Raw genomic sequence first — 12585 nt, 5'->3', positions numbered from 1 at the left:
CAGGAGGGAAATGAAATTTAGAGAACTGCCCTACCATAGATTTTCTTAAAGCCTGGCCTAGAATGAAGGAAGCAAATTTCTGTAGTTACTATAGCTACACGTTTTCATGTTACATTTGTGTTGTGAACCGAAAATGCTAGATGAGAAATTGTCTACTGATTAATTAGAACTGATAAAGAGGCCCTATTACAGAGAACGATTAGCTTCCTTCACTTAACGGTTTCCCACCAATCATCAAATTCATAATTTAGCACCATATGATTTTTCTACATGCAAAGAGGAAATAAGATAGCTTAGATTATTCAGAGAGGGGCCTGAATCTGAATTCAATTACATGACACCTGGTAATACTGAGAAAGGTCAAGCGCTTCAGAACCAGAAAAATTCAGATTCTAATCCAAGCTCTCTTTCCAGGGTGTATGTTAAGCAAACGACATAGCCTGGCTGGGCCTGATTTCTCATCTATAAAATGGGAATGGCACCACCGGGTTTGAGAATTGTGTTGATGTTTAAGTCAGAGGGCAGATGAAAAGCTTCTTGCTCAGTACTAAGCACATACATGTGTGCGTGTATACACACATGCTTAGTACTGAGTAGGTATATATGTATACACACACACATACACACAGTAGGTGGACAATAAGTGTTTAGGTTGCTGTCTTCCTGATGGTTTCAATGGTTTTTGAGTTTTCTATGCCCAAGGGCTTAAAAAACACCAATAATCATCGTAGTAGACTTTAGCTGGAGACAAATTTGAGCACGGATGGTAAATATACTCTTATATTACTATTGCCCATGCCTCCCAGATAAGAATCACCTGCCCCTCATGTCCACTGATTATAAACCCAGTTTCTCAGGCCTTGTCCTAGAGATTTTTGCGTGAGTGGATCAGCGATGAGGTCTAGAAACTTGTATTTTTAACAAATATTCCAAGTAATTCTCATCTTCTAGGAAGCTTGGGGAGTAGTGATAACAATGCTTCTCAAATTTTGAAGGGCAAGCAAATTACTTGGCTATCATGGAAATGCAGAAAATCAGCAGGTCCAGGGATGGGGAAGGCAGGGGGTCAGGGGACTGAGATTCTGCATTCCTAACACACTCCCAGGTGATGCAGATGTTGCTGGTCTGAGGACCACACTTTGAGTGGAAAGGGTCCTTAGGGCTCAACTGGACCAGCAGTTATATGGGAAATGTCTTCAAGTTCTGTTCATGATGATTTCATGTTGAGGTAGAATGAGTCAAGTATCATCCTCTACCTGGGAAATTTGTTTTTGCTTTTCAACCTTGCATGCACATTAGAATCACCTGTGGAAGTTATTTTATTATTTTTTAATTATAGATGCCTAGGCCCAATCTTCAGAGATTCTAACTCCCTGGTGTGGCCAGGCAGGGCATTCATGTGGTCAACAGGCAGGCAGCATCTGAGTCATTTGAGAAGAGCTTGTTAGAATTTTCTGCGCTATCATAGGCCTTCTGAACCAGAATTAGCAAGATCCCACATGAATCATGTGCATGTTAGAGCTGAGATGTGCTGCCTCACCTGAAGTCTTCAAGCCAACCCCTTTTCTTCTTGTAAATGCTTGGCAGTTCAGTGCTCAACAGCCAAGGGAAGCTGCCATTGCCCCCTGTGGGAGGGTTAGTACTATTTTTAGAAGTGATTTCTCCCTACTTTAATTCCTATCTCTAGTTCATGAATTCTCTGGTCCTCTTGATAGTCTTGCCCCATGTCCCCACATCATGCCACCTCCAAAAGGCAGAACTTGTAATTTTTTTTTTATTATTAAAGTTTTAGGGTACATGTGCACAATGTGCAGGTTAGTTACATATGTATACATGTGCCATGCTGGTGCGCTGCACCCACTAACTCGTCATCTAGCATTAGGTATATCTCCCAATGCTATCCCTCCCCCCTCCCCCTACCCCACAACAGGCCCCAGAGTGTGATGTTCCCCTTCCTGTGTCCATGTGTTCTCATTGTTCAATTCCCACCTATCAGTGAGAATATGTGGTGTTTGGTTTTTTGTTCTTGCGATAGTTTACTGAGAATGATGATTTCCAATTTCATCCATGTCCCTACAAAGGACATGAACTCATCCTTTTTTATGGCTGCATAGTATTCCATGGTGTATATATGCCACATTTTCTTAATCCAGTCTATCATTGTTGGGCATTTGGGTTGGTTCCAAGTCTTTGCTATTGTGAATAATGCCACAATAAACATACGTGTGCATGTGTCTTTATAGCAGCATGATTTATAGTCCTTTGGGTATATACCCAGTAATGGGATGGCTGGGTCAAATGGTATTTCTAGTTCTAGATCCCTGAGGAATCGCCACACTGACTTCCACAATGGTTGAACTAGTTTACAGTCCCACCAACAGTGTAAAAGTGTTCCTATTTCTCCACATCCTCTCCAGCACCTGTTGTTTCCTGACTTTTTAATGATTGCCATTCTAACGGGTGTGAGATGGTATCTCATTGTGGTTTTGATTTGCATTTCTCTGATGGCCAGTGATGGTGAGCATTTTTTCATGTGTCTTTTGGCTGCATAAATGTCTTCTTTTGAGATGTGTCTGTTCATGTCCTTCGCCCACTTTTTGATGGGGTTGTTTGTTTTGGCATTACCATTCAGGACACAGGCATGGGCAAGGACTTCATGTCTAAAACACCAAAAGCAATGGCAACAAAAGCCAAAATTGACAAATGGGATCTAATTAAACTAAAGAGTTTCTGCACAGCAAAAGAAACTACCGTCAGTGAACAGGCAACCTACAAAATGGGAGAAAATTTTCGCAACCTACTCATCTGACAAAGGGCTAATATACAGAATCTACAATGAACTGAAACAAATTTACGAGAACTTGTAATTTTTGTAGGCTGCATCACATTGTGCTTACATTGTTATAAAGAAGGAAAAATAATGCCTTGAAGAGCTGGGCACCCTTGTAGTCCCAGGTACTCGAGAGGCTGAGCAGAGAGGATCCCTTGAGCCCAGGGGTTTGAGGCCAGCATGGGCAACCCATGTCTCTTTAAAAAAATGCCTTGGGCTTAAAAGAGGTAGCCCTCAGTTTATTAGGGAAATATTATACACCCAAACACATATTTAGCTACATTTCAATTTTTTAAAATCCCAAATAAGATAACACTACGTGGATGCTGAAAATACAGTACAAGAAATTGTGCCCCAGACTGGACAGACCCACAAGAGCATGTCTAATTGTTTGCCCTTTAATGACCTCATTAGTTTTACCTGGTCGAGCTCAAGGTAAATACCTTTAAAACTTCAATCTCTTGCTTTTCATTTAAAGTTTCTTTTATGTATTCGCTCTAAACTGGTTGTTCACTTAATAGCTCTTGCTATGGCCATTATTGGCTCTGTGATGTGTGTACTTAATATCCTTTGTGGGTTTTTTCTTTTATGGTGAAGACCGACTTTTCTGCATAGCATGATACCAAGTCCCATTAAAATGACCATTTCCATACTTACTTTTAAAAACTGTGAATCTTAGCAGAGTGGGTTCCTCTAAGCAGGGAAAACTACATCACGCAGGCAGTGAAAAACACTGTCATGATTCTGTCCCATTTCATCTTGCAATTTATATTGTAGTAGAATAGTGTGTGGGAGGAAGAAGGTCTCGTCTAATGGTAGAGGTTAAATGTATGGGCTGTCCAGTCAGATCGCTTGAGTTCAAGCCTCAGTCCTGCCAATCACGAGGGTTAGTCACTTAACCTCTTTCCAAGTTTTGGCTTCCTAATTTATAAAATGAAGCAACGTATAGTTCAAATGGCACGGAGATTAAATAAGAAGATGGAAATAAAGTATTTAGTGTGTTACTTGGCTTCTAGTAAATGTGCTACAAACAGTAGCGACTACTAATACTTCCTTTCTTGTTCAATTCGGTCCAGCAAATGTATTAGTCCGTTCTCACACTGCTATAAAGAACTGCTCAAGACTGGGTAATGTATAAAGGAAAGAGGTTTAATTGACTCGTAGTTCAGCATGGCTGGGGAGGCCTCAGGAAATTGACAATCATGGCAGAAGGCAAAGGGGAAGCAAGCCACCTTCTTCACACAGCGGCAGAAAGAAGTGCTGAGCGAAGGGTGGGGAAGAGCCCCTTATAAAACCATCAGTTCTCATGAGAACAGCATGAGGGAAACTGCCCCCATGATTCAGTTACTCCACCTCGTCTCTCCCTTGACACGTGGGAATTATGGGGGTTACAATTTAAGAGGAAATTTGGGTGGAGACACAAAGCCTAACCATATCAGCAAATACTTATTGATGTCTCCGATGTGCTTTGTCCTAGAAGTAAAAAACAAGACAGAGAACCAGGGAGCTTGAAGTCTAGCAAAGAAGATACACATGTAGAAAGGTAACTCCAAAATAACGCAGTGAGTGCCATGAGGCAGATACACAGTGAAGCAAAGACAGTCCACAGGTCGGTCCAGGCCTTTCCAAAAGGCTTCCTCCAGATGTCTGAGTCCAGCACACATGCTGAGCTGGAGTTATCTAGGGTAAGGATACATTTAAGGAACTGGCCTTTACCCGAAGAATATGGGTGCTACTTAAAGGTTTAAAGCAGGGTAGTAACATGGTGTGCTTACACTTGAGCAACATCACTCTAGGGACATTGTGAAGAACAGACTAGAAGGGGTAAGAGCGAAGGCAAGAAAACCAGTTAGGAGGCTGTTGAGGTCATCTGGAGAGAGACTATGATAGAGACCAAACTAAGGCTGCCAGTAGCACAATAGTGACGGGACATGGATTGCACAGAAGAGTATATTGTGAAATCAGTGAAGCTTTTTTTTTTTTTTTTTTTTTTTTAAGATGTAAGGCAAGAAAGAAGAGTTTAGGCAGAAATCTAGGATCTGACTCGGAGAAAAGATGGGGAATACAGTGAGCTTTGAAAGAAGGGGCACCAAAATAAGCATATTTTTGGACATTTTGAGTGTGAGGTGCCTGAGCCAAGTTGAAATGCTCAGGGACCAAGGACGAACCCAGGAAACACCAGTATTTAAAGGGACAAGAGGACAAGGAAGAAATTCTCTAAAGAGAGAAAAAGAACAGGTTGAAGACAACTAGGAGAGAGGGCTGTCAGGGACAGACCGGTTCTCAAGATGGTCTACTGAAGTGATGTCTTGACAAGAGGGCTTTAGAGTCAGCTGTGTCACTGGTGACCTCTACCAGAGCGATGTTGATGGCATGGGTGACAGAGCCAGGTTTCAAAGGGGTGAAGACCCAAAAATACTAAGTGCAGACTCCTCTTGTAGGATGTCACCTGAGAAGGGACAGAGGGAAAAGGCCAGGTAAAGAAAGGGTTTTCTGAAAGGAAAGAGACAGTTGGGGAGGAAAAAGAGAATGCTGAGGCAGACTATGGTAATTGATGGAGCAAGTTCGTGAGAGAATGAGAGGAGGTGGTGGTGGTGTCACAGAGAAAGGAGAATCAAGACCCCCTGAGTGTGGGAAGATGGTGAGTGTGAGTGTAGAAGTTGGTAAGTTCTGCAGGCAAGGAAAAAGGTTGGTAGAAAAAAATAGGAAGAAGTTAAAAGAGGACTTAATCTTTTTTTTTTTTCTTTTTTTTGGAGATAGGGTCTCACTCTGTTGCCCAGGCTGGAATGCAATGGCACAATTATAGCTTGTTCACTGCAGCCTTGAACTTATGGGTTTAAGTAATTCTCCTACCTCAGCCTCCTGAGTAGTTGGGACAATAGGCGTACACCACCACACCCAGCTAACTTTTCAAGTTTTTGTAGAGATAGGGTCTATGTTGCCCAGGTTGGTCTCCAATTCCTAGCTGAAGCCATCTTCCTGCCTTAAGACTCCCAAATAGCTAGGACTACAGGTGAGCACCACTATGCCCAGCTAAAGGACTTAATGTTGAAGAATATTTGTGTACATTTTTAAGAAAAAAAGGCAAACTGTTCCACTCAGCAAAAAGTAATCTGTAAAAACCTATCCTTTCCATAATACCAGAGTAATAATCAGTAATATTTTTTGGAGGTGGAATGCATATGAGTATATTAGAAAAAAACTTACGAGTCATTATCTTTTCATGCTAAATTTTTATTTCAATGTTATGCAACTGCATAAGTATAAATATTTTGTTCAATATACAACAATTATGACGTCCATAAGGAATTTCTTAGAGAAAATAAGACTGCAAACACTTTATTGCACAGATCCTAACAAACTTTTAAGCTGGTAAATCTACAGCTGGGAGTACTACCAAGGAGCACATCCTACAATCACACAGAGACTGACCAAATAGAACACAATGAGGAGAATTTCTACCAGCTGATTGGAGAGGTTTACAACAACAAACATGTAATACATGAATGCAACCTTAAGTACTCTTTACTCATTTATAATGAAAAACATATTTGGCAAAAATGATGATACACTATACAAAATATACATAAAAATATCATTTGTAAACAAATAGCTAGTTGTGCTTTAAAGGAAATTGGACAGTTAAAAAGCAAAGGCTTGTAAACCATGAACTACCTCCCCGACAGACTTGTCCCGATGGCTGAATGTAGGATTGGGTTATGACAACTGCCAAACACAGATATGTATTATAAACGTTGAGACCAGTTTTGAAATCCATTAGTAAACTCTTGTAAAGTATATATATATATTTTTACAGCTTCACAATATAGTGATGGGGAATGGCTAAAACCATATGGGAAAAAAAAATTAGGGGCAAGGAGGAGGCTTTTTTCTTTTTCTTTTTTTGTTTGTTTTTTTCCTTTTTCCCAAAGCCAATTCATTTTACAACGAAGGACAACTGAGCAGTCGGTTAAGTTATGCCTTTGTTTTCAGAGTGGAGTTTATAGCCTCACTAGAAGATTTACAATCCATAAGGCCATAAGATGATGCTGTGCTTAGATGAACAATTTTATAGCGTGAAGATACTAAGACATCCCCCAAGAGAGTTTGGGTGCTAGATCAGTTATTTATTGGTAATTTTTTTTCTCTTACAAAACCAAACAAAAAATTCTGCTATGGTTCCCAAGCAACTTATAAATACTTATCTGTATTTTCTCTTAGTGCCTTAGTATTTATATCAGCAAGTGCCATCTTACAATACAAAACAAGCCACCAAAGAAACTGCAACAACAGAAACAAAAACAAGAAATCAAAAACCTTCAGCACTAAAATGATTTGACAAATTCTACATATTCCACGGTATACAAAATTTAAATAAGGCTTAGCAAAAGTAAAAAGGATGGTCACATTCAAGCACCAAATAGCTCCAGCGAGTCTCTTTGTTACAAAAATGCTGCTCTGTATTAAGACAGTATTTTTTGCATACAAATAAAGAGATCAGGTTATGAAATGTGTGGAGCTACTAGATGCAGCAGAAATGAATGTGAAACCCAGGAACTTGCTAAAAACAGCAAGCTTCATCTACAACATAAGGCCCCAGCTATGTATTAAAATGTATCTGATGTCCTGATTATTCTTTAATCGATATGCTACGATGCCAAAATCCACCCCCAGTTCTTTTCCTCAAAAAAGCAAATTTAAAACCTCTTCCAATGCCTGATGCTTATTACTCAAGTACTAGAAGATTTGGGTGCAGCCAGTAATTTTCCTTTTTATTCAAGAGCAGGGCTGGTGCAGGACTACTACAAAATGTGTGCTTCTTGGACTAGTCACTCACAGCATAAAGGCCTGAGTTTAAGAGTTTGAAAAGAAGGAAAAGAAAGCAAACAGAAAGAAAGTTGATGTGTGTTTATAGTCCCCGCTCTACCTCAGGTGAAGGCCAGACATCCACATCCACAGAAAGGAACAACTGGCCTTTTAGACAGTTGGACCAGGGATCCAGTGTCCATTGGGATGGCCGTGTAATGAAAATGGCTAGCTCCACTTGTCCTGGCCATTCCTAATGGAGGAGGATTCCAAATGCAGTACTTAGAGTAGTTCTTGCTTTAGATCTGGAAATATAGGTAGCCAGATACAGTACTATCAGAAACTCTGGTTAAAATACACATAAAAACTCAGAATCTACTGTGTTTAGGGCTTTCTTCCATCTTAACTTAGAATGTTTTAGCTTATAAAAATGGAACCTTGAAATAGTCTCTTAAACCACAGACCAAAACATGTAGGTGGATGTGTATATACACGAATATGGGTGTATCTCTGTTCACACACACCCAGTTTTGACCATTTTGCTTCATTACTACATTATGATAAATGGTAAAGCAAAAATCTTATTTAAAAAAAGCTGTAGTAAACGACGCAATCAGCAGCCAGGTATAGACTCTACATCCCAAACCAAACACGATGCTATATATTTACAAAGAAAATCATTTTCCTCAACAACCCTCAACTGTAAAGGTAATTTTTTTTTTTTTTTTTTTTTTTTTTTTTGTACAAACACTATCTGGTAACAGTTTTACCGGTTACAACTGGGAAGGCATCTGGAAGAAGGTCCCCTCTTTGTCTTTCTCTCTCCCCTGTCTCAATGAGGCTCCGAGCTCTGCCTGGCGGACATTCCCACACAGTGCTGGTTTTGAAAGGTAGTCAAGACACAGTCGCCCGTTCAGGACGGGTCTCCACAGTCCTGCCCCTGGGCCCTCCCCGTTACAAGGCCTTTTTGTGAGGGCTGCTACGCAAACTCTCTTTCCCCCGCCTCTGCCGTACCACAAAGTCCTTCTCATTAGAAAGAGAGATGGGGCGGTCAGTGTTTGGGGCTGGGGATGGCTTGGTCACGTCTCTGCCCACGTTCTGTTTCCTAGCTGGGGGAGGCTGGGCTGGGGCAGGGTCCTTCCCTTTGGTTTCCCCTACGGTGGCAGTCACCGAGAGAGCCCTGTCCCGGTGGCTGGCCCCGCCCATGGTGTTTGGGTCGGGGTGGTGTGACTCCAGAGGCAGGGTGGAGACCCGGAAGGAGGGCAGGGAGTCACTCTTTGTCATGTGGGTTCGGCCCTCCCCGGCAGGCTGAGCCTTCCTATGGTCCCTGTTGCTGGGGGCTGGAAGCTCCAGCATGCCCCCGGCGGCCTTGGCAGAAGAGGTGTCGCTGCTGGCTGCAGAGGCCTCTCTAACTCCGGCCCTGGTTTCAGGGAAGCTGGAGGAGCAGCTCAGAGACTTTTCCGGGAGGGCCGTGGATCGGAAAGAACTCTGCCCAGTGGCTGAGGGGGACCGTTTCATGCCATTGGGCTTGTCTGCCTCCGTCGGTGGCTTCTGGGGACCGGGCCCTTTCCCTCTGGCCTCAGGGAAGCCCTTCCCCACCCCCGCGGCTGGCCGCTCCGCGCCTTTCAACCGGTTCTCGCTATGCACAAAGGAAAGGCCGGCCTCGAGCTTGTCGCCCTCTGCTGGAGCATAAAGTGCTTCAGTGCATTTCTTCCCTTCCGCCCTTCTGTCGGTGTTGGCGGCCGGCTGACTCGGGCTTTTGTCTGTCTGTCTGTTGTCTGTCTGTTTGCACAGGGTGGGGCAATCTTTCACAGTGGATGGTTTGGGGTGCTTTGGAGACAGGGTTTGCTTTTCACCAACAGCGGACAGTTTCTGGTCCGCTGGCTCACTAGGCCCTGGGTGTCCCGGCCTTGGCAAATGCACAGGCTTCTCCAGCACCTCCAGGGGCCGCCCACCACTGGTGGGTTGTGGCTTGGCGTCTAGAGGAGCCCTGTCAGTGTGCAGTGGGACAGAGGGCCCACCTTCTCCCTGGCCAATCCCATCGCTGGCTTTGTTCTGGGAGCCTGGGGTAGCAGGAAACACATCCGGCCCACTCTTACTGTGGCCCTTCCCCTCTCTGCTAGAGCCACCGAGGGACTGAGTGGCAGGCTCTTTGCCCTTTGTGGCCCCGACACTTGGTTTCTGAGAGGAGAGGGACCGGTCGGGGTGCTTAGTCTTTGGAGGGCCCGGGTCAGGGCCAGGCCGGGGCTTGTGGCTGCTGCTTTCACTGTGCGCAGCAACAGGCTTGGGAGGGTCCTGGGGGCTCGAGCTGGGCTCTGCAGTGCTGGGCTTGGCCCCCGGCTCTCTGCCAGAAGCGTGGCTTGGGGAACTGCAATGCTGCCTGGCAGCCGGGCTGGACAGGTCTTTGGCCGTCAGAGGGGGCGGAGGGATGCTGCTGGGATGCCTTTGTAGAGGCTGCTCCTTCCTTTCAGGTTCCTTGGCACCATCTTTCTGCAAAGATGGGAAACTGGAGAGCTTTTCACTCTTCTCACTCTCAATTCCAGGTGGCTGCAGAGACCGCCTGGCAAGAAGCGCTTCGGGCTTGGGTTCCACGCCACGCCTCACCTTGCCCAGCTCCTTCTCACAGGGAATTCCAGCTGAGTGCAGAGAGGAGTTGTCTCTGGGCGGGGGCCTCGCCTCACCTGGGCCATCTTTGTGGTTCGTTTTCCCACCCGGCGCCCATGCTTTCTCCATGGCCTGGGTCTGTGTATAGAAATCTGGGTGGGTCCTTCCCACAGAGAGGAGATTTTTGGAGTTGTCACTGGTTTTCGCAGTTTCTGGAAAGCACAGTTCCATGGAGGGCTCTCTGCATGTGTCAGCCCTCGCAGCAGAGCGCTCGCTTCTGGCTGTGGGAGGGCCTCTTTCAGACGATTCCCTCAGGCCTGGCTTCTCCCTTGAGGGGGAAGCTTCAGGTGGGAGCGGGCAGCGTGGCCTGGCCAGGTCAGGGCTGTGGAGGTTCTGCCCCAGGCAGGTCAGAAGCTTGGGGTCAGTGGTGTGGTCTTGGTGTTTAGGGGAGCTGCCCTCTCTCTGTTGGGGATTGCTTTCCATGACTGTTCCAGGGCTCCTGGCAGTAGGATGGGGACCTTTCCTGTCCCTCTTGAACTCTGGGTCAGGCAGGGAAACTGCTGGTGAATTCTGGAGACCTCGGCTGGGGGGCAGGAACCAAGGCTCCAGCAGGTAGGATTTATTCATCTTTAAGCTGGAAGGAGAAAGCTCTCTTGCACTGGTGGTATCGTTCTTTTTCCCACTGCTGCTGGGGAGAACTGGTGGCACAGAGGCCCTCACGTCACCACTTGGGCTGGGGCTCTGTGCAGACTCTGGGGAAGGCAGTTCTGTCTTGGAGGCCTGAGGTCCGGACAGGAGAGCAATGTCCAGAGTGCCCTCGATCGGCTTCAGGCATGAGACAGACCTACCTTCCAGCTTATACTCGGAGGGGCTCTTCCTAACAGGGGACTCAGGAGCAACCAAGCCAGGCTTCTCCGTTCCACTGTCCACCCGGCCTGTTAAGGCCTTGAGGGGAACAAAAGAGACGGCACTCATCTGAGCTGCATGGGTGCTGCTGACAAAAGCTCGGCTCTCAGAAGCCGGCGGGGGCTCCTGCTGCCCACCCGTGGGTCGGACTGGGTTCCCTGGCAGGCATTCGTGGGAGCCAGCTGTCATCTTGGGCTTCAGCACAGGGCAGAGGTTGTCCTCTTTGTCCTCAAGTGACATTTTCTTTCGGAGGTAATCGATGTTGGCCAGCTTGCTGTCTAACTTTTCACATCGGAGAAGCTCCTTGGCCTGGGAGGACTTCTCCGTGCCTTCCCCCTTCCCAGAGATGCCCCTGTCGAGGGAGTGGCAGAGACCATCCTGGAGGGTGCCAGGAGCGGGGGCCCGTCTGAAGTCCCCGCCACCCTGGCGGTGCTCCGCAGGCACCCGGCCATCCGACATCGCACCCTCGCTGGCGCGCACGCTGGCCTGCTTGTGAAGAGCATCCTTCAGCAGGCTGCCCAGCGGTGGCGCCTCCTGCATAGACGCTTTGTTTTCAAAAGTACTTGACCTTTCCACAGCCTTCGGATAGACTTTCTTCTCTCTCTCTTCCAGCTTAAACAGAGCAAAGTTTTCCAAATCACTCCCGGGTCCATGGGATTTCTGGTGGGATTCCTGTTTCTCTGGGAAGCCGTCTGCTTTCTTCACCACCACCTTGGCCTTCAGCTTGTCGCGGTCCAGGTCGTCCACAGACTCCTGGCGGCCCACCTTCCGGGAGACTGGGCGTTTCAGGCAGCCTTGCTCCACTGGCCGGGCGCGGCTGAGCGGCGGCACGTCGCACACGTTCTCATCCAGGCTCTGCAGCGGCGCCTCCCGCTGGGACTGCTCCCGCTGCACCTCCTCTTGGGTCACCTCCAGGCTGTGCTTGCGGGAGCACAGGTGCTTCTTGTCACTGCCGTAAGAGGGCGACAGCTTCTCCTCGGACTGCACGCGCTTGAGCAGCGGGGACCTGGGGGGCTCCGCACTCTTGGGCCTCACGATGTGTCTGACGATGGTGGGCGGGGAGTGCATCTTGCTGGGAAAGGCTTGCGCGATCTTGGAATTGCCCAGTGAGTGTCCCAGAAGAGGGGATGGTGACCGCTGCGGGGAGGTGGGTTGCGGGGTTGGAGAGGGCGTCCGGGCCAGCGGGGACAGTGGGATGTTGCCGGCGGACTTTCGCCTTCCGGACCGGTACCGCTGCCCGCCGAGTTTGGGTGCAAGACCGTGGAGAGTGCTGGGCCGGATGTGCCCGGACCCTGCTGGGGAATTGGGGGCACTAGAACTAGGGGAGCTGCTCTGGGAGGAATTAGTACCTGTGGATGGAAAACAGAAGGCTGTGAGCATCCATGGTCATTTTCCCCTTTTTTTCACAGTTGTAGCCCAGACTGTATTAGGTAAGGCCA

The 12585-nt window shown here is 46.8% G+C and overlaps 1 protein-coding gene across 28 annotated transcripts in view, besides 2 other annotated features; it reads right to left on the bottom strand.

Annotated features, from left to right (window-relative positions):
- MAST4 (microtubule associated serine/threonine kinase family member 4) overlaps nt 6049-12585 on the bottom strand; it is a 573201-nt gene continuing 566664 nt past the window's right edge. For all 28 annotated transcript variants that reach the window (XM_024446044.2, XM_047417157.1, XM_047417158.1 and 25 more), the window contains one exon: nt 6049-12495. In XM_024446044.2, the coding sequence (XP_024301812.1) occupies nt 8591-12495 (3905 nt within the window). In that variant the 3' untranslated portion in view covers nt 6049-8590. The remainder of the gene's footprint in view (nt 12496-12585) is intronic.
- Nucleotides 8336-8841: an enhancer, noted in NCBI's record as "H3K27ac-H3K4me1 hESC enhancer chr5:66462629-66463134 (GRCh37/hg19 assembly coordinates)". NCBI's record gives its function as "activates a minimal SCP1, AML or CMV promoter by ChIP-STARR-seq in naive H9 embryonic stem cells {active_cell/tissue: H9 hESC(naive)}" and the evidence as "EXISTENCE:reporter gene assay evidence [ECO:0000049][PMID:30033119]".
- Nucleotides 9282-9331: a silencer, noted in NCBI's record as "silent region_16070". NCBI's record gives its function as "represses an Ori minimal core promoter by ATAC-STARR-seq in GM12878 lymphoblastoid cells {active_cell/tissue: GM12878}" and the evidence as "EXISTENCE:reporter gene assay evidence [ECO:0000049][PMID:35858748]".

The sequence above is a fragment of the Homo sapiens genome, chromosome 5 (assembly GCF_000001405.40).
Source record: "Homo sapiens chromosome 5, GRCh38.p14 Primary Assembly".
Lineage (NCBI taxonomy): Eukaryota > Metazoa > Chordata > Mammalia > Primates > Hominidae > Homo > Homo sapiens.
This window is presented reverse-complemented; position numbering and strand designations above follow the sequence as displayed.